This window comes from Homo sapiens, chromosome 2 (genome assembly GCF_000001405.40).
Source record: "Homo sapiens chromosome 2, GRCh38.p14 Primary Assembly".
Taxonomy (NCBI): Eukaryota; Metazoa; Chordata; class Mammalia; order Primates; family Hominidae; genus Homo; species Homo sapiens.
Genome location: NC_000002.12, coordinates 61469855 through 61490884, shown reverse-complemented (window position 1 = coordinate 61490884; position 21030 = coordinate 61469855). Strand labels below are relative to the sequence as shown.

Below are 21030 nucleotides of genomic sequence, written 5' to 3'. Positions count from 1 at the left end.
CTGCACCTGGGCCAAAATCAGTTTCAAGACGTTTGTGAATTGCTTGTGTGTGGTTTTCCTTATTAGGGTGTATAACATAAACGTTAAAATGTCTGCTTTTTAAAATAGGTTCATACGTTTTATGAAGCTGTGGGGTACATGATTGGTGCACAAACAGATCAAACAGTACAAGAACACTTGATAGAAAAGTACATGTTACTCCCTAATCAAGTGTGGGATAGTATAATCCAGCAGGCAACCAAAGTAAGTATTTCTACCTTTTCTTAAAAGTTTTCATGGGATTTAACAAGACGTGTTCTTTACAAATGTATTGAATTCAAGCCTTTTAACATGTATGTGTGATCCATAAGTGCTTTTATGTGTGTCTTTCTATAATTTATTATCTGGGCGAGGTGTGGTGGCTCACGCCTGTAATCCTGGCACATTGGAAGGCCGAGGCGGGCGGATCACCTGAGGCCAGAAGTTCGAGATCAGCCTGGCCAACATGGCAAAACCCCGTCTCTACTAAAAATACAAAAATTAGCTGGGCGTGGTTGCACATGCCTGTAATCCCAGCTACTGAGGAGGCTTAGGCAGGAGAATCACTTGAACCCAAGAGGCAGAGGTTGCAGTGAGCCGAGATTGAGCTACTGTTCTCTAGCCGAGACGACAGAGCAAGACTCTGTCTCAAAAAAAAAAAAATAAATGAAAAATCTGGGCCGGGCTCGGTGGCTCACGCCTGTAATCCCAGCACTTTGGGAGACCGAGACGGGTGGATCACTAGGTCAGGAGATTGAGACCATCCTGGCCAACGTGGTGAAACCCCGTCTCTACTAAAAATACAAAAATTAGCCAGGCATGGTGGTGGGCGCCTGTAATCCCAGCTACTCGGGAGGCTGAGCCAGGAGAATGGCTTGAACCCAGGAGGCGGAGCTTGCAGTGAGTCAAGAGCATGCCACTGCACTCCAGCCTGGTGACAGAGGAAGACTCTGTCTCAAAAAAAAAAAAAAATACTGTAATTTCCATTCTCATTTGATATTAAAATAGGAATAGGCTGGGTGTGGTGGCTCATGCCTGTAATCCCAGCACTTTGGGAGGCCGAGGCAGGCGGATCACCAGGTCAGGGGATCGAGACCATCATGGCTAACGCAGTGAAACCCTGTCTCTACTAAAAATACAAAAATTAGCTGAGTGTGGCGGCGGGCGCCTGTAAGTCCCAGCTACTCAGGAGGCTGAGGCAGGAGAATGGCGTGAACCTGGGAGGCAGAGCTTGCAGTGAGCCGAGATCACGCCGCTGCACTCTAGCCTGGGCAACAGAACGAGACTCCGTCCCAAAAAAAAAAAAATAGAACTATATTACTTCATTCTTAAGTAGATGTAGACAAAAAGGCGTTTGTGTTCGTTTTTACCATTTGGGATTATAAATATGGTTTAGGGTAAGGGAAGCGTAATGGCTTTTGCTTTGGTAATTATGTGGATTTTTTTTTTTTTTGAGATGGAGTTTCACTCTTGGTGCCCGGGCTGGAGTGCAATGGCGTGATCTCGGCTCACTGCAACCTCTGCCTCCCGAGCTCAAGCAGTTCTCCTGCCTCAGCCTCCCAAGTGGCTGGGATTACAAGCAAGCACCATTGTGCCTGGCTAATTTTGTATTTTTAGTAGAGACAGGGTTTCTCCATGTTGGTCAGGCTGGTCTTGAACTCCCGACCTCAGGTGATGCACCCGACTCAGCCTCCCAAAGTGCTGGGATTATAGGTGTGAGCCACCTCGCCTGGCCATTATGATGGATAATTCTTTTTTTTTTTTTGAGACGGAGTCTTGCTCTTTCGCCCAGGCTGGAGTGCAGTGGTGCGATCTCGGCTCACTGCAAACTCCATCTCTAGCGTTCACGCCGTTCTCCTGCCTCAACCTCCCGAGTAGGTGGGACTACAGGCGGCTGCCACCACGCCTGGCTATTTTTTTTGTATTTTTAGTAGAGACGGGGTTTCACCGTGTTATCCAGGATGGTCCCGATCTCCTGAACTCATCATCCGCCCGCCTCGGCCTCTCAGAGTGCTGGGATTACAGGCGTGAGCCACTGTTCCCAGCCGTGGATAATTCTTATATGATAAATGGAATTTGCTTTTTTTCCTCCAAGAATGTGGATATACTGAAAGATCCTGAAACAGTCAAGCAGCTTGGTAGCATTTTGAAAACAAATGTGAGAGCCTGCAAAGCTGTTGGACACCCCTTTGTAATTCAGCTTGGAAGAATTTATTTAGATATGCTTAATGTATACAAGTGCCTCAGTGAAAATATTTCTGCAGCTATCCAAGCTAATGGTAGGTGATTCTGATTTCTTACACAATGCAGTATAAACAAACCACTTCTCTTCTACTGCCTTAAGTCAAACATTTGATGTTTTTTACAGATTTAAATCAGACCTCCCATTTCCCAAATGACCCTAGACATATTTAAAACAGTTAAGTGTACCTTTCCCTTTTAAAATTAGTCTTAAAGCTTATTTTCCCAATAAATTTTGTGAACTTTTGGCTTTAAACTTTTTAATGGTAAAATGGAATTGCATCTAATGTACACCTGAGTACCACTGTATAAGTTTAGTGGTAAAATTAGATTCCATTTGATTCTGTTTTGTAGGTGAAATGGTTACAAAGCAACCATTGATTAGAAGTATGCGAACTGTAAAAAGGGAAACTTTAAAGTTAATATCTGGTTGGGTGAGCCGATCCAATGATCCACAGATGGTAAGTGAGAGATGCTTTGCTTTTGATTTCTAGTGTTGATGCTGTGTTTTATGGAATATGCTATACTCTATTATGTGCATTTTGCTAATTTAAAGCATATCAACTTTGTGGTTATTTTATGGCATTTTATTTATTGTAGTCCTTACGTTAATATACTAATAGCTGTATTCCATCTTCAAAAGAAACTGCTGTTAATCAGTAGCGAAGGGTGGTGATATGTAACAAGATAGCTAAGAAAATTGGGTCATTTTATGTTTCCATAGATAGGTTAGGAGGATTTAATTAATGGAGTACCGGTGCAGTTTTTGCATTCCTCTTGATTTTTAGAACAATTGCTAGAGCTACAAAGTTGTCATTACTTTACCTCTTTAGCAAAGTGATTGCTTCCCAGATTAAAGGCCTGAAAGTCTTTTTTACACCCTTTTTCCTAAATGATTTGCAGAAAAGGAAATCATTTTCAGTAATAAAAACCAGCTGCGTATGCCTCAACTTGTAAAATTGTGAATTAGTTTTAGGTTTTAACTGTATCGTTTCATTCTTGTTATTCAATTGAGCCTTGGGAGAGTCCAAAAAATTCTAATACTACTATTACTTGGAATAGTGTTGGTTTTTTGTTTTTTGGTTTTTTTTTTTACAAGTGTGCTAGTTATTTTCATAGTTTTGAAATTTCAGTATTGTTTCTTGTTAAGGAAATACTTTTCAGTAAACTTGTTCTGAATATAATTCTTGTGGAATACTTAAGTTGGCTAACCTAAATATCGAAAGGTTCTGAACATGCGTATTATGTGAACAGAACTGTATTTAAAATTTGAAAGCAGAAAGTAAGATGTATTGAAGGAATTGTGATGTTTGTAATTTACAAGAAGCTTGAGCACGTGTCGGGAGCACAGTGGGAATAATACAAAGGGTATCATCTTTTGTAACATTAATGTTAAAGTTTGGGATATTTGTTCACATGAAACATTGTGTTTATTTTCCTTGTCTTGGCTTTTCACGGTGGCTCATGCCTGTAATCCCAGCACTTTGGGAGGCCGAGGCGGGTGGATCACTTGAAGTCAGGAGGCTGAGGCAGGAGAATCACTTGAACCCCAGAGGTGGAGGTGACAGTGAGCCAAGATTGCGCCATTGCACCCCAGTCTGGGCCACAAGTGGGAAACTTCGTCTCAAAAAAAAAAAAAGAACAAGAAGTTACTCTTTAAGTATAACTCAGTTTACTTAGAATCATGAAAATCTTACTGGGCATTGTAGCATGCACCTGTAATCCCAACCACCAGGGAGGGTAAGGCAGGCGAATCACCCCAGCTCAAGTCCAGTTTAGGCAACATGGCAAGATTCAGTTTCAAAAAAATAATAGAAATCCATAGTCTTTCTTATTTTCTGAGAGTAATTGATTGATGTTATTTCTGCTTGTGAAAATACTCACCAGTTAGCATTCATTAGATTAAAACATTAGTCTGAGTTGGGTGGATCACGAGGTCAGGAAATCAAGACCATCCTGGCTAACACGGTGAAACACCCCGTCTCTACTAAAAATATAAAAAATTAGCTGGGCGTGGTGGCAGGTGCCTGTACTCCCAGCTACTCGATAGGCTGAGGCAGGAGAATGGCGTGAACCTGGAGGCGGAGCTTGCAGTGAGCCAAGATGGCACCACTGCACTCCAGCCTGGGCGACAGAGCAAGACTCCGTCTCAAAAATAAAAAGACAGTATTGAGGGCTCGCTTGCTGCCATCTTACATATACAGTATACGTAGAATCCTGATTCTGCCACCTAAGTTGGAGACACCCACTGAATTTTGAGCCTCACTTTTCTTATTGTGAGAGTTTTGTAGCTGGGCATGGTGCTATACCTATAGTCCCAGCTACTCAGGAGACTGAGGCACAAGAATTGCTTGAACCTGGGAGGTGGAGGTTGCAGTGAGCAGAGATTTGCCACTGCACTCTGGTCTGAGTGACAGTGAGACTGTCTCAAAAAAAAAAAGTCTTGAATGACAGTGTGTCCATGAGACTTCCCAACCCATTGTGATTTCCTGCTTTCTTTTGCTAAAAACTGTTTTGACGTAGGAAACCCTAATACAAACACAAGATTTTCCTGTTTTCAGTAGATGATCATGCTACATCTCATAGACAGGAATAACCTTGTTGTTTAAAATAGTCACCATGTACCTAAATTAAAACATAACTTTTTTTTCCCTCCCCAACAGGTCGCTGAAAATTTTGTTCCCCCTCTGTTGGATGCAGTTCTCATTGATTATCAGAGAAATGTCCCAGCTGCTAGAGAACCAGAAGTGCTTAGTACTATGGCCATAATTGTCAACAAGTTAGGGGGACATATAACAGCTGAAATACCTCAAATATTTGATGCTGTTTTTGAATGCACATTGAATATGATAAATAAGGTGTGTAATATTTCAGTTATGTAAGGGGGAAATTCTGCAGGATAGCCTTAATTCTTGAAAGCTAAAGTATGTCTGTGGATATAACATAATTTTAATGCCATGGAGTTTAAATATTTAAACTTGTATATTAGGGAAATACTTTCTTGGTTTTCAAGAACTTACTTCCCAGGAGTTTGAAACCAACCTGGGCAATATAGTGAGACTTCATCTCTACAAAAAGTTCAAAAAGTAACCAGTCATGGTGGCATGTGCCGGTAGTCCCAACTACTCGAAAGGCTGAAGTGGGGGGGGGGGTCACTTGAGCCTGGGAGTTCAAGATGGCAGTGAGCTGAGATTGCGCCACTGCACTCCAAGAAGAAGAATTTACTACACAGAATCTTGATTGGTAAAAAGTAAATATGGAAAACAGATTTTAGCATTCACATGGTATGTAGCATTTATTGAAACCTCATAGGTCGGGGCATCCTTTTATGAACGTAGTTGTATTAATTGGTTTGAATAAATGAGAAAGTAAGTCTGCATGTTTCAATTATAAAAGTGTAGTATATGCTTATAAGAAACTGAAAAATGTGTTAACAAGAGAAAATAGGCTGGCCATGGTGGCTTACACCTGTAATCCCAGCACTTCAGAAGGCCAAGGCGGGCGGATGACCTGAGGTCGGGAGTTCAAGACCAGCCTGCCTAACGTGGCAAAACCCCATCTCTATTAAAAATACAAAAATGGCCAGGCGTGGTGGCTCAACACCTGTAATCCCAACACTTTGAGAGGCCGAGGCCGGTGGATCACCTGAGGTCAGGATTTCAAGACCAGCCTGACCAACATGGTGAAACCCCATCTCTACTCAAAGATTAGGCTGGGTGCCGTGGCTCACGCTTGTAATCCCAGCACTTTGGGAGGCCGAGGTGGGCAGATCACGAGGTCAGGAGATGGAGACCATGGTGAAACCCTGTCTCTACTAAAAATACAAAAAATTATCCGGGTGTGGTGGTGGGCGCCTGTAGTCCCAGCTACTCGGAGAGGCTGAGGCAGGAGAATGGCATGAACCCGGGAGGCGGAGCTTGCAGTGAGCCAAGATCGCGCCACGCACTCCAGCCTGGGTGACAGAGCAAGACTCTGTCTAAAGAAAAAAAATTAGCTGGGCATGGTGCCGCATGCCTGTAGTCCCAGCTACTCGGGAGGCTGAGGCAGGAGAATCTCTTGAACCCAGGAGGCGGAGGTTGCAGTCAGCTGAGATTGCGCCACTGCACTACAGCCTGGGTGACAGAGTGAGACTGTTTAAAAAGAAAAAAGAGATAAAAGATACGTTAAGTGGACACATTTACACGGTAACTTAAATTTTTTTGTAATCTGTAGTGGTGATTTCAAATTAAAAACAAAAGTGATAGTAGTAGTCTTATGGTAATAATGGTTTAGATGAGTTCTCTATTAAAAAGGTTGTCTTTCTCCTTCAATTTGATAACTCATGTGCGTAACGGGACAGTTTCATTTTCCGTGAGAGGTGGATTGTATTTTACTTGGGTTTACCTTTCAGGAGGCATTCTATCTTCTGTGGTTTATTGAAAACTCCAAATATTTATACTGGATTAAGCCTTGCTTTTCCCCTCCTGTCTAGCACAACAAAGACACTGAAACATTATTTTGTTTCCACCACTTATTTTTAGGACTTTGAAGAATATCCTGAACATAGAACGAACTTTTTCTTACTACTTCAGGCTGTCAATTCTCATTGTTTCCCAGCATTCCTTGCTATTCCACCTACACAGTTTAAACTTGTTTTGGATTCCATCATTTGGGCTTTCAAACATACTATGAGGAATGTCGCAGATACGGGTAAATAAAAGATGTTCTTTTATTCATTTGCCTGCCAATCCAAAAATACAAATATAGTTAATTGTACATAGGAAGGTATTACTTGTTCAGAGTTTTGAGTGTGTGAATTACATATATGAACATCTGAGAAAATCCTATAAGCAGTTTAATCAACTGTTCCACTCCACTCCAAGTGAGTCCATAGGCAGAATTGAGTTATGGGGAGAGCGGCCTAGTAATAATTGGTTTGCGTAATACAAAGTTCTACTGGGTAGTGATGTTGTAGAAGTTCATATAGAATCAGCTGAGCTTTCAGAAATGGTGAAAGGGTGGTAATAGTCATAACTTAGATTGTAATTTTTTTCCCATAGGCTTTTAAAAAATATTCATGAGGTTCTTTTTTTATTTCAATAGTTTTTGGGGAACAGGTGGTTTTTGGTTACATGAATAAGTTCTTCAGTGGTGATTTCTGAGATTTTGGTGCACCTGTCATGTGAGCAGTATGAACTCTACTTTATGTGTAGTCTTATCCCTCATGTGTATGAACTCCACCTTATGTGTAGTCTTATCCCTCACCCACTCCTGCCCTTCCCCACAAGTCCCCAAAGTCCATTATATGATCTTTATGCCTTTACATCTTCACAGTTTAGCTCTCACACAACTTATTATAATTTATAAGTAAGCCAGCATTGGATATAGTTGTATTCCATTATTAATTTAAGAAACCTTATGCAAGTAATTATTAGTCATCATCCCAAAAAAAAGGGAGAACAGGGTTAGATTCAGAATACTTTGATAAGAGCTAAATACTATCATGAGTGCTGTCAGTCTGTAGTAACTTTCCATTGGTATTCTATGTCTTTTAGGCTTACAGATACTTTTTACACTCTTACAAAATGTTGCACAAGAAGAAGCTGCAGCTCAGAGTTTTTATCAAACTTATTTTTGTGATATTCTCCAGCATATCTTTTCTGTTGTGACAGACACTTCACATACTGCTGGTAAGAATTTAATACGATTTAAATGTTAAGTGCCAGCTGGGCACAGGGCCTCACGCCTATAATCCCAGCACTTTGGGAGGTCGAGGCGGGGAGATTATGAGGTCAGGAGTTCGAGAACAGCCTGGCCACCATGGTGAAACTGTCTGTACTAAAAATACCATAAAAAAATAAAAGATACAATAAAAATACTGGGCATGGTGGCATGTGATTGCAATCCCACCTATTCGGGAGGCTGAGGCAGGAGAATGGCTTGGACCGAGGAGGCAGAGGTTGCAGTGAACTAAGATTGCGCCACGGCATTCCAGCTTGGGTGACAGAGCGAGACTCCGTCTAAAAAAAAAAAACAAAACAAAAAAAAACGCTAAGATCTATAGTTATATTACATTTTGGAGTTAATAATTTTCTTCTTATCAACAGGTTTAACAATGCATGCATCAATTCTTGCATATATGTTTAATTTGGTTGAAGAAGGAAAAATAAGTACATCATTAAATCCTGGAAATCCAGTTAACAACCAAATCTTTCTTCAGGAATATGTGGCTAATCTCCTTAAGTCGGCCTTCCCTCACCTACAAGAGTAAATATACCTTTTAATAAACGTAGAATGTTCCTGGTCGGGCACAGTGGCTCACACCTGTAATCCCAGCACTTTGGGAAGCCTAAGGTGGGAGGATTGCTTGGGCCCAAAAGTTGGAGACCAACCTAGACAACAAAACAAGATCCCGTCTCTACAAAAAAAAAAGTAGTCAGAAGTGGTATGCATCTGTAGGACCAGCTGTTGGAGAGGCTGAGGCGAGAGGGTTGTTTGCATCCTGGAGTTTAAGACTGCAGTGAGCTATGATCGCACCACTGTACACCAGCCTGGGTGATAGAGTGAGACCCTGCCTCTTTAAAAAAGCAAAAAAAAAAAAAAAAAAAAAAAGGCCACGCACGGTGGCTCATGACTGTAATCCCAACACTTTGGGAGGCTGAGGTGGGTGAATCACAAGGTCAGGAGTTCAAGACCAGCCTGGCCAAGATGGTGAAACCCCGTTTCTACTAAAAATACAAAAAATTAGTTGGGCATGGTGGTGGGTGCCTGAAATCCCAGCTACTTGGGAGGCTGAGGGGGAGAACTGCTTGAACCCAGGAGGCAGAGGTTGCAGTGAGCCGAGATTGTGCCACTGCACTCCAGTGTGGGTGACAGAGCAAGACTGTCTCAAAAAATAAAAAGGCTGGGCACGGTGGCAAACGCCTGTAATCCAAGCACTTTGGGAGGCCTAGGCGGGCAGATTACCTGAGGTCAGGAGTTTGAGATTTGCCTGACCAACATGGAGAAACCCTGTCTCTACTAAAAATACAAATTAGCCGGGCATGGTGGTGCATGCCTGTAATCCCAGCTACTTGGGAGGCTGAGGCAGGAGAATAGCTTCAGAGGTTGCGGTGAGCCGCGATTGTGCGATTGTACTCCAACCTGGTAAACGAGCAAAACTTTGTCTCAAAAATTAAAAAAAAATTCTTGATTAAAAAAAAAAAACATTATTGGGACGCTGAGGCAGGAGAATGTCTTGAACCCGGGAGGCAGAGATTACAGTGAGCAGAGATCATGCCACTGTACTCCAGCCTGGTGACAGAGCAATACTCTGTCTCGGGGGAAAAATAAATCATTATTTAATCATTGTGTTTTGATTTGCAGTGCTCAAGTAAAGCTCTTTGTGACAGGGCTTTTCAGCTTAAATCAAGATATTCCTGCTTTCAAGGAACATTTAAGAGATTTCCTAGTTCAAATAAAGGTATGTATTTATTTGCTCTTGCAGAAATATTAGGGGTAGATGTGACCACTTTTATGTTACATTGTAGAATTTTTATCACTTGATTTGTCATGCCAAATAAATGGGGTTTCAAGATAATACGTTTACACAATCTCTGTAATCAAAAAACCTGAGACTGGTAATACAGTGAAAAACTAAAGTCCAATAAGGATAGATATGTTTGAGATGTTATTCGGATAAACTTATTACTAATGTAATTCATTTTAGGTAGTCTTAAATGTATAATGGAATATTGGGTAAGAAAAACGTTGGTAGTTCTTTTTATAATTTTATACCAATTTTGTTAGTTGAGGGAACTTGTGAAAGTTACTAGATAGAATGTCTTTCTTCTGCTGTTATACAGTGCTTTATTCATACTTTTGGGAAGGGTTTTTCTTTGAACATCTTGCTTTAAAGAAATTTGGAAGTACTGTGAAACCCTAAGTAGTTGATGAATAGTTTATCCATGATTGTTGAATAAGAATTAGTCTCTTAGCTCTTAAATATTTTCTCCAAAATACAAAGGTTTTTTTTTTTTACTGTAAAAATATTAGCCAATTTTTAAAAAACTAATGAAAGTTACCTAGGCTGGGCGCAGTTGCTCATGCCTGTAATCCCAGCACTTTGGGAGGCCAAGGTGGGTGGGTCACCTGATGTCGGGAGTTTGAGACTAGCACGGCCAACATGGTGAAACCCCCGTCTCTACTAATAATACAAAAATTAGCCAGGCGTGGTGGCGCACAGCTGTATTCGCAGCTACTTGAGAGGCTGAGGCAAGAGAATTGCTTGAACCCACGAGGCAAAGGTTGCGGTGAGCCGAGATCACGTCATTGCACTCCAACCTGGGTGACAAGAGTGAAACTTCATCTCAAAAAAAAAAAAAAAAAGTTAACTGATAGCTACGAAGTCAATGATAATATAACTAAACTTAATTTAATGACAGTTATTAATTAGCCTTAGGAGAAACATCTTTCTTGGTATCTTGGCATATGAAGAATTTTTAGCTGGGCACAGTGGCTCACACCTGTAATCCCAGCACTTTGGGAGGCCGAGGCAGACAGATCAGTTGAGGTCAGGAGTTCAGGATCAGCCCGGCCAACATGGTGAAACCTCATCTCTACTAAAAATACAAAAATTAGCCAGGTCTGGTGGCAGGTGCCTGTAGTCCCAGCTACTCGGGAGGCAGAGGCAGGAGAATCACTTGAACCCAGGAGGCAGAGGTTTCAGTGAGCTGAGATCATAACACTGCACGCCAGCCTGGGCGACAGAGCAAGACTGCCTCTCAAAAGAAAAGAGAAAAAAGTGTCTGGGTGCAGTGGCTCATGCCTGTAATCCTAGCACTTTGGGAGGCCGAGACAGGTGGATTGTCTGAGCTTGGGAGTTTGAGATCAGCCTGGGCAACATGGTGAAACTACGTCTCTAGTAAAAATACAAAAAATGAGCCAGATGTGGTGGTGCCTGTAATCCCAGCTGCTGGGGAGGCTGAGGCAGGAGAATTGCTTGCATCTTGGAGGAAGAGGTTGAGATAATGTGCTGGGGCTACAGAACAAGACTCTATCACAAAGAGAACAAAATTTGTGTGAATACATAGTAGGTGTATATACTTAGGGGATGGGATGCATGAGATACTTCGGTAGAAGCATACAATGCATAATAATCACATTGAAGACTATTTACTGTAAGGTATCACACCATTTTTTTTGTTTTTTTTGGGGGGGCACAGTCTCGCTTTTATCACCCAGGCTGGAGAGCAGTGGCGTGATCTTGGCTCACTGCAACCTCCGCCATGCAGGTTCAAGTGATTCTCCTGCCTCAGCCTCCCAAGTAGCTGGGATTACAGGCGCCTGTGCCACCATGCATGGCTAATTTTAGTAATGACAGGGTTTCACCATGTTGGCCAGGGTGGTCTCCTGACATCAAGTATTCTTCCCGTCTCTGCCTCCCAAAGTTGGGATTACAGGCGTGAGCCACCATGCCGGGGCCCATGATTCTTTTGTAATCTTCCCCCCCACCAGTTAACAGGTTTGCAGTTCATTCAGCTATGTAGTATACTGTGTCACTATCCTATAATTTAAAACCCAGCCACTTTATGGATAATTTATATTCCTTCCTTCTCTAAAAAGGAAATTGCTCATCTATGATTTCTTTCTTTGCAAGTTGAAGTTTATTGCGTTGACATTTCAACTATCTGTTTTCACAGGAATTTGCAGGTGAAGACACTTCTGATTTGTTTTTGGAAGAGAGAGAAATAGCCCTACGGCAGGCTGATGAAGAGAAACATAAACGTCAAATGTCTGTCCCTGGCATCTTTAATCCACATGAGATTCCAGAAGAAATGTGTGATTAAAATCCAAATTCATGCTGTTTTTTTTCTCTGCAACTCGTTAGCAGAGGAAAACAGCATGTGGGTATTTGTCGACCAAAATGATGCCAATTTGTAAATTAAAATGTCACCTAGTGGCCCTTTTTCTTATGTGTTTTTTTGTATAAGAAATTTTCTGTGAAATATCCTTCCATTGTTTAAGCTTTTGTTTTGGTCATCTTTATTTAGTTTGCATGAAGTTGAAAATTAAGGCATTTTTAAAAATTTTACTTCATGCCCATTTTTGTGGCTGGGCTGGGGGGAGGAGGCAAATTCGATTTGAACATATACTTGTAATTCTAATGCAAAATTATACAATTTTTCCTGTAAACAATACCAATTTTTAATTAGGGAGCATTTTCCTTCTAGTCTATTTCAGCCTAGAAGAAAAGATAATGAGTAAAACAAATTGCGTTGTTTAAAGGATTATAGTGCTGCATTGTCTGAAGTTAGCACCTCTTGGACTGAATCGTTTGTCTAGACTACATGTATTACAAAGTCTCTTTGGCAAGATTGCAGCAAGATCATGTGCATATCATCCCATTGTAAAGCGACTTCAAAAATATGGGAACACAGTTAGTTATTTTTACACAGTTCTTTTTGTTTTTGTGTGTGTGTGCTGTCGCTTGTCGACAACAGCTTTTTGTTTTCCTCAATGAGGAGTGTTGCTCATTTGTGAGCCTTCATTAACTCGAAGTGAAATGGTTAAAAATATTTATCCTGTTAGAATAGGCTGCATCTTTTTAACAACTCATTAAAAAACAAAACAACTCTGGCTTTTGAGATGACTTATACTAATTTACATTGTTTACCAAGCTGTAGTGCTTTAAGAACACTACTTAAAAAGCAAAATAAACTTGGTTTACATTTATTTTTCCTTTATTGACTCATTTATTCCTATATTAATGATAGTGGGTATTTGTGTTTAAGCATCAAGTAACATTTTAAATGAAGTTGGACCCCTTGATTTACAAACAAGATTTCTAAGGTTATTGTTCCTAGTAAATGCAGCAGTTGTGTAAAATGAACATGTTCCTAAGATACCTTTTGTTCTCAAGAAACAAATTCCTCCTGTGGCATTTTGACTCATTTTACCTTTATTTGGGATTAGAGGGCACTTCTTGTCTAACTCTACTTAGCATCTAAATGTAACAAAGAATAAACATTAGCCTTGGAATGAGAACACAGATGTAACCTGGTACAAATACTAATTGTATTCTTAAAAAATGTAAGTAAACTAAGTAGCCATGAGCCTTCTCAAAAGGGTGAGTGGAGCCAGGCTTGGTAGCTCACACCTGTAATCCCTGCCCTTTGGGAGGCCAAGGTGGGCGGATCACTTGAGGCCAAGAGTCCCAGACCTGCCTGGCCAACACAGTGAAACCCTGTCTCTACAAAAAAATACAAAAATTAGCCAAGTGTGGTGGCACGTGCCTGTAGTTCCAGCTGCTTGGGAGGCTGAGCCAGGAGAATCTCTTGAATTTGGGAAGGAGAGGTTGCTGTGAGCTGAGATTGTGCCACTGCACTCCAGCCAGAGTGAGACACTCTCTCTCAGATATAGATTGATTTTTTTTTTTGCGGGGTGGGGGGTGGGGGTGATAGAATCTTGCTCTGTTGCTCAGGCTGGAGTGCAGTGGCGTGATCTCGGCTCACTACTACCTCCGCCTCCCGGATTCAAGCGATTCTCCAGCCTCAGCCTCCAGAGAAGCTGGGGCTGCAGGCACGCATCAACGCAACCAGCTGTTTGTGCTTTTACTAAAGATGGGGTTTTGCCATGTTTAGACAGGCTGGTCTCAAACTCCTGACCTCAGGTGATCCACCCACCTCAGCCTCCCAAAGTGCTGGGATTATAGGCGTGAGCCACCGTGCCTGGCCTTCCCTATACATTTTATATAATGGGTGTGTAAATGGACAACTAAGGATTATCAGACATCTAAGGGCAGTCTCAATATGAATTTTAAAATGGAAACGGGCAAGTTGAAAACAGACTGCACAGGCAAAAGTAAACAAAAATATCAATCACCAGTACCCTTAGAAAAGTTGAGAGCTTTCTGCAACCAAGAAAAACAATACCACAGTAAAGGTATATCAAGAGAACAGAATTTTGGAAATTAGAGAATAGCAGAAATAAAAAATGAGTTGCAGAGGCAGGTGCGGTGGCTCACGTGTGTAATCCCAGCGCTTTGGGAGGCCAAGGCGGGCGGATCACGAGGTCAGGAGATGGAGACCATCCTGGCTAACACTGTGAAACCCTGTCTCTACTAAAAATACAAAGAAATTAGCCGGGCATGGTGGTGGGCACCTGTAGTCCCAGCTACTTGGGAGGCTGACGCAGGAGAATGGCGTGAACCCGGGAGGCGGAGCTTGCAGTGAGCTGAGACGGCGCCACTGCACTCCAGCCTGGGCGACAGCGAGACTCCTCAAAAAGAAAAAAAAAGAAATTTAAATCTCCCAAAAATAGAGGGAAAAGAGAAAAAGATGCAAAATATAAACTTTTAAAAATTTGAGGACCACTCCATAAGTAAACATGAGTTCCAAACAGAAGAAAATGGAGTGTATGGAAAAAAGGATTCAAGAGAATCTCCACAAACAGAAGGGTATCAATTTGCTCATAACAAATCACCAAATATCCATCCCATAAGATACAAATACACCCCCAGTTGTCCAGGTGTGGTGACACACACTTGTCCTCCCAGCTACCCAGGAGGCTGAGGCAGGAGGATTCCTTGAGCCAGGAAAGTGGTGGAATATGCCTGTAGTCCCAGCTACTTGGGAGGCTGAGGCAGGAGGATCACCTCAAAGCATGCCGTTCAAAGCATGCTGGGCCTATGAATTGTCACTGCACTGCAGCCTGGGCAACACAGTGAGATCTCTGTGGGGTGCAGTGGCTCAACTGTAATCCTAGCACTTTGGCAGGTGGGAGGATTGCTGGAGCTCAGGAGTTCGAGACCAGTCTGGGCAACATAGGAATACCCTTTTTTTTAAATTTAGGCCAGGGCTGGTGGCTCATACCTGTAATCCCATCACTTTGGGAGGCTGAGGTGGGTGGATCACTTGAGACCGAGTTCAAGAACAGCCTGGGCAACATAGTAAGATCCCTGTCTCTACTAAAAATATAAATATTAGCCCAATGTGATGGCACACATCTGTAATCCCAGCTATTTAGGAGGCTGAGGCAGGTGAATCGCTTGAACCCAGGAGGCAGAGCTTGCAGTGAGCCGAGATTGCGCCACTGCACTCCACCCTGGGCAGCAGAGCAAGACTCCATCTCAAAAAAAAATTAAAATAAAATAAAAAGATGAAAGGCATAGGAATGGAGAGATGGAAGGAGACAGAATAGGTTGACTGTACAGTACATTCCAGGGTGAATGTTAGTTTGTGATAAAGTGCTCTGCTGTTCATTTGAGTTGTGGCAAATAATTTAACTGTCATAACTGGTCTTCAAAATGTTGATCAACAGTTATACACACTTGGCCGGGCGCGGTGGCTCACGCCTGTAATCACAGCACTTTAGGAGGCCGAGGCGGGCGGATCACCTGAGGGTGGGAGTTCGAGACCAGCCTGACCAACATGGAGAAACCCCATCTCTACTAAAAATACAAAAAAGTAGACAGGTGTGGTGGTGGCACCTGTAGTCCCAGCTACTCAGGAGGCTGAGGCAGGAGAATGGCCTGAACCCGGGAGGCGGAGCTGGCAGTGAGCGGAGATCACTCCACTGCACTCCAGCCTGGGCAAAAAAAGCGAGACTCAAAAAAAAAAAAAAAAAAAAAAAAGAGTATCTGTAATCAGTAGTTAGAAATGTGTTTGGTTACAAGTAACGAAAATCTGAAGAATGGCTTAAAGAAAAAGAACTTTTTTGAGGAGTCTTGCTCTGTCATCCAGGCTGGAGTGCAGTGGCAACTGCAGCTCACTGCAACCTCTGCCTCCCGGGTTCAAGGGATTCTCCTGCCTCAGCCTTCTGAGTGGCTGGGATTACAGGTGCCCTCCACCACAACCGGCTTTTTTTTTTTTTTGAGACGGAGTCTTGCTCTGTCGCCGAGGCTGGAGTGCACTGGTGCGATCTTGGCTCACTGCAACTTCTGCCTCCTGGGTTCAAGCAATTCTCTTGCCTCAGCCTCCCAAGTAGTTGGGACTATAGGCATGCGCCATCAAACCCGGCTAATTTTTGTATTTTTAGTAGAGACGAGGCTTCACTACGTTGGCCAGGCTGGTCTTGAACTCCTGACCTTGTGTTCTGCCCACCTCCCCCTCCCAAAGTGCTGGGAGTACAGGCGTGAGCCATTGCGCCCAGCCTAATTTTTGTATTTTTAGTAGAGATGGGTTTCATTACGTTGGCCAGGCCGGTCTCTAACTCCTGTCCTCAAGTGATCTGCCCTCCTTAGCCTCTCAAAGTTCTGGGAATACAGGTGTAGGCCACCATGCCCAGCCAAGAAAAATACATTTTATTTTTCTCACATAAGCAGTCTGAGCATAGACTGTTGTTCAAAGATGCATCAGGGATCCACACTTTATGATTCTGTTTTATCATTTTTTTTCGAGATGGAATTTTTTTTGCTCTTGTTGCCCAGGCTGGAGTGCAATGGCAGAATCTCGGCTCACTGCAACCTCCACCCCCGGGTTCAAGCAATTCTCCAGCCTCAGCCTCCCGAGTAGCTGGGATTACAAAGTGCCCGCCACCACACCCGGCTCATTTTTTATATTTTTAGAAGAGATGGGGTTTCAGCATGTAGGTAAGGCTGGTCTTGAACTCTGACCTCAGGTGATCCACCTGCCTCAGCCTCCCAAAGTGTTGGGATTACAGGCGTGAGCCACTGTGCCCGGCCTGTTTAATCAAATTTTTTAAACAATGAAATCGCAAATGGGGTAAAAGTTTTCATTGTTAAAAAAATTACAAGATGGGTATTACTTTGTGCATCAAGACCATGTTTCAGGCAGAAAGGGTTAAATGGTATGTTAGCTGAATTTGTCCCTCATCGTATTAGGAATTCTTTTGGGAATTCTTCCCAAAGAACCCATCCTGCAGATTTCTGCTTACATTTCTTTTTTTTTCCAGAGAGGGTCTCACTCTGTCACCCAGGCTAGACTGCAGTGGTATGACCACAGCTCACTGCAGTCTCAATCTCCTGGGCTCTAGTGATCCTCCCACCTCAGCCTCCCCAGTAGCTGGGATTACAGGTGTGCACCACCACATTCCACTAATTTTCTTATGTACTGGAGATGGACTTTTGCCATGTTGCCCAGGTTGATGTAGAACTCCCAGGCTCAAGCAATCCATCTGCCTTGGACTCTCAAAGTACTATGATTATAGTCGTGAGCCACCACGACCAGGTAATTTTTTTTTTTTTTTTTTGAGACGGAGTCTTGCTGTGTCGCCCAGGCTGGAGTGCAGTGGCGCGATCTCAGCTCACTGCAAGCTTTGCTCCCTGGGTTCATGCCATTCTCCTGCCTCAGCCTCCCAAGTAGCTGGGACTACAGGCGCCCACCACCATGCCTGGCTAATTTTTTGTATTTTTAGTAGAGACGGGGTTTCACCGTGTTAGCCAGGATGGTCTCAATCTCCTGATTTAGTGATCTTCTCGCCTCGGCCTCCCAAAGCGCTGGGATTACAGGCATGAACCACCATGCCTGGCCTTTTTTTTTTTTTTTTTTTATGAGACGGAGTTTCACTCTTATCCCAGGCTGGAGTGCAATGGCGCGATCTCGGCTCACCGCAACCCCTGCCTCCCGGGTTCAAGCGATTCTCCTGCCTCAGCCTCCTGAGTAGCTGGGATTACAGGCATGCACCACCATGCCTAATTTTGTATTTTTAGCAGAGATGAGCTTTGTCCATGTTGGTCAGGCCGGTCTAGAGCTCCCGACCTCAGGTGATTTGCTCACCTCAGCCTCCCTAAGTGCGGGATTTCAGGAGTGAGCCAACGCGCCCAGCCACCTTTTAAATTTTTGTAGACACAGGGCTCCCACTATGTTTCTCAGGATTGTTGCTTACCTTTTATCAGGAGGAACTCAATTATGTATGGCCAGCCCTAGAAAAGCCAGATCACCATGATGGTTGGTTTCAACTGCTACCTGAAAAAACGTGAGACCAGCACGTTGGCTCATACCTGTAATCCTAACATTTTGGGCCGGAGGATCAGTTGAGGCCAGGAGTTTGAGACCAGCCTGGGTAACATAGCAAGACCCTGTCCCTACTAAAAATAAAAAACAATTAGTTACGTGTGGTGGAGAGCGCCTGTAGCCCCAGCTACTAGGGAAGTGGGAGGATCCCTTGAGCCCATAAAGTGGAGGCTGTAGTGAACTGTGATCGCACCACTGCACTCTAACCTTGGCGACAGAGTGAGACTTTGTCTCAAAAAAAAAAAATTCAAATAAAAATAATTGGGGTTGTGTTGGCAGGGAAAAAAGGGATACGTGGGAATGTATGTTGAGTGGACAACGAATGTCTGCCTCAGGATCCAAAGTAAGTCTGCAAAAACCCAATTCTGTGAGAAAGACAAGGAAGAAGGGAAGATGATGGTAGAATAGAACTACAATCCTAAGGATCACCTGCTAGTGGGAAACAAAACGGGTTGGGCAGACTGTTTATAGTATCAACTTCAAGCAGCAGAAAGGCAAAGCATTTGGAACCAGGTGGTTCTGGCATGGAGAGATGGGCGTGCCATAACCTCCACAAAAGCTATCGAGAGAATGACTACAGAGCCTTGACAGACACTCTGGTTACCGTTCAGAGATTCTGTACACGATCTTTCGGACTTTGCAGTCACATGTCTATGTAAACACGTTGAACACAAAAATTAGCAAGCAAGGGGTAAGTGCCGGCGTGAGGAAAATTCCCTTACAAGCTTCAGCTGACTGCCCCCTTCACCTGTTCTTTATCTTAATATCCTTGTTATTCGCTCTCTGCTGAAGAAGATTTCTTGCTATTTCAGGTGGGGCTGATGGGCACATCGTGAGGGGCCCTCTTCCGTAAAAACGAGACGATGTCAGGCAAACACTCCTTACCCTGCCATTTCTAGTTACGTCAAGGATCTTACTGCTCCAGGACGGAGGACCTTCAAGGAACTGCAGGGTAGCGATAATCACCGATGCAGTTAAGCCGGGCCCTGGGCTGATTCACTCTCAGACCCCGGGGGGAGTGGCCCTTGCGCCCGAAAGAGGGCTACGGCGTAGACCCGGCCCGGCACCCAAGTTGACTCCTTGCTTCCCGTACCCCAAAAGCCTAAGCGCGGAAGAGGCCGGGGACACCAAAGAAACCCGCACCAACTCCCCGACCCAGGCCCTGGGGAAAAATGGCGAAGCCCAGGGGCGGGGGACAGGACGGAGCGAGTGACCTGGCGCTCCCCGGGCCTCAGAGCCCGTGGAGTGGGTCGTGGTGGGCGACGCCACGCAACCGCGACCCGTCCGTTGCCTCCGCCATCTTCTCCTACTCACCCGGACTCCCCCCGCGGCCGCGCTGGCTTCGCGTTTCCCTTCCGGCCGCTGACAGAGATCCGGGCTGGGCGGGGTGGGCGAGCGCGCGGAGGGGGTGGACCGAGGGCGGGGAGGCCGGACGGAAGAGGAAAGGGAGGGCGGCGAGCCGGCCACGGCGGGGTGTGGAGCGTGCGGCGTGTGTGCGGAGGGAGAGGTGGGGGGCGGAGGAGAGGCGAGAAAGGGAGGGAGGCGGAGGAATGAGAGCGCGAGGCGCCTCTCGTCCGCTCCTAAGCCCGGGCGGAAAGAGCCGAGCGCAGCCCGAGCGCTCTGTTAAAATGGCGGCGGCGTCGGCGGTGGCCGCGGCGTCTGGTCGGTGAAGTGACTCTGCTGCTTCTCTCCCCACCCGCCCCCTCCCCCCCTCTCCCCTCCCCCCGTCCTTCCCCCCCTTCCCCGCCGCCGGCGCCTCGGCGCCCCTCCGGCCTGCGCACCTCCCCTCGCTCCCCTCCTCTCCCCCTCCCGCTGCGGGGACCGCCGGCCCCCTCCCCCATTCTCTTGCTCCCCGCCCCGTCCCCGCCGCCGCCCGCCCTAGTCGCCTCCCCGCCCCGCCGGCCGGCCGGCCCCCTCCTCCGCCTCTCTCCCCTCCCCCCCGCCGGTCGGGATCAGTCAGTGTGATCCGAAGCGGGGGAGGGGGGGGGCGGCGGCCGAACGATGTGCGAGAACTGCGCAGACCTGGTGGAGGTGTTAAATGAAAGTAAGTAGCCGCGGTAGCGGCCTGTCGGGGTGCACGGTTTGGGGTCCTCGCGCAGCTCTCTGGCCTCCCCGGGCTGCCGCGGCCTGCGGGAGGCGACGGCCGGGCCGGGCGGCGTGCGGGCCTAGCGCCCCGGGAAGGTGCGCGGTGGCGCGGCCGCCGCGGCGCCTCGGGCCCAGCCCGGCCGGGTTACCTGGGCGCCCGAGAGGCGGCCGCCGCGGAGCTCCGGCTCGGCCTGGCCCGGGCGCTCTGGGCTCTCGGAAAGTTTCCTCATTACAGGTGTCAATTAATGAAGGCAGTAATGAACCCCTCGCCGCCTTCGCCTCCTTCGCCCTGCCGGGAAGGTGCGGGGAGGTGGGGTCGGAGGACGAGGCTTTCCTCCGCAGTCCAAATCCTCCGGCCGCCCTCTTTGATTTCCAGCGTGCTGCCGAGGCCTCTCTTACCTGCTAATTTTCATTAAACTCCCGGGAGCAGGGTGGTGGTTTTTCCCTCCCTTGCGGGTTTGTGGGTGTCTTAAACACTTCAGCCAGACCTTAAATAGCTGAAAACGAACTGTGATAGTGATGATTGGAACCTTCATACCTATTTTTAAAATAAATTTGTTAATGATGTTTCTTAGTGTAGCATTCACCGCTTTAATGGTACATTCTGTTAAGCAGAGCACTGTACTACACATACCATCCCGGGATAGTTATGGCCTATCTCTCTTGGAAGGAAAGGCCTTTTACCTGGTACTTTACTTTTTATTATTAAAAAGGGTACGTTGATCTTTTCTGGCCTTTTTATTTTATTCTCGAC

The 21030-nt window shown here is 45.1% G+C and overlaps 2 protein-coding genes and 1 long non-coding RNA gene across 26 annotated transcripts in view, besides 4 other annotated features; 2 read left to right on the top strand and 1 right to left on the bottom strand.

Annotated features, from left to right (window-relative positions):
• Nucleotides 1-13036, top strand: part of XPO1 (exportin 1) — a 60764-nt gene extending 47728 nt beyond the window's left edge. For 18 of the 24 annotated variants that reach the window (XM_047445764.1, XM_011533097.2, XM_005264544.3 and 15 more), the window contains 9 exons: nt 109-243; nt 2114-2297; nt 2614-2720; nt 4923-5117; nt 6780-6948; nt 7794-7928; nt 8346-8505; nt 9604-9700; nt 11919-13036. In XM_047445764.1, coding sequence (XP_047301720.1) covers nt 109-243; nt 2114-2297; nt 2614-2720; nt 4923-5117; nt 6780-6948; nt 7794-7928; nt 8346-8505; nt 9604-9700; nt 11919-12065 — 1329 coding nt within the window. In that variant the 3' untranslated portion in view covers nt 12066-13036. The remainder of the gene's footprint in view (nt 1-108; nt 244-2113; nt 2298-2613; nt 2721-4922; nt 5118-6779; nt 6949-7793; nt 7929-8345; nt 8506-9603; nt 9701-11918) is intronic. The other 6 variants (XM_047445771.1, XM_011533098.3, XM_047445767.1 and 3 more) reach the window with 1 other exon arrangement.
• On the bottom strand, nt 6944-19789 carry USP34-DT (USP34 divergent transcript). Its single transcript, NR_185882.1, has 3 exons — nt 19506-19789; nt 10302-10560; nt 6944-8258 (listed from the first exon to the last, which is right to left on the bottom strand). It is a non-coding gene; the product is annotated as a USP34 divergent transcript (long non-coding RNA).
• Nucleotides 12505-12705: a silencer, noted in NCBI's record as "peak3716 fragment used in MPRA reporter construct". NCBI's record gives its function as "represses an SCP1 promoter by STARR-seq MPRAs in K562 erythroleukemia cells {active_cell/tissue: K562}" and the evidence as "EXISTENCE:reporter gene assay evidence [ECO:0000049][PMID:32103011]".
• Nucleotides 19547-19856: a silencer, noted in NCBI's record as "silent region_11529". NCBI's record gives its function as "represses an Ori minimal core promoter by ATAC-STARR-seq in GM12878 lymphoblastoid cells {active_cell/tissue: GM12878}" and the evidence as "EXISTENCE:reporter gene assay evidence [ECO:0000049][PMID:35858748]".
• Nucleotides 19798-21030, top strand: part of USP34 (ubiquitin specific peptidase 34) — a 283625-nt gene continuing 282392 nt past the window's right edge. The window contains exon 1 of the mRNA NM_014709.4: nt 19798-20235. Within this exon, the coding sequence (NP_055524.3) occupies nt 20193-20235 (43 nt within the window). The 5' untranslated portion in view covers nt 19798-20192. The remainder of the gene's footprint in view (nt 20236-21030) is intronic.
• Nucleotides 19887-19966: a silencer, noted in NCBI's record as "silent region_11528". NCBI's record gives its function as "represses an Ori minimal core promoter by ATAC-STARR-seq in GM12878 lymphoblastoid cells {active_cell/tissue: GM12878}" and the evidence as "EXISTENCE:reporter gene assay evidence [ECO:0000049][PMID:35858748]".
• Nucleotides 20057-20476: a silencer, noted in NCBI's record as "silent region_11527". NCBI's record gives its function as "represses an Ori minimal core promoter by ATAC-STARR-seq in GM12878 lymphoblastoid cells {active_cell/tissue: GM12878}" and the evidence as "EXISTENCE:reporter gene assay evidence [ECO:0000049][PMID:35858748]".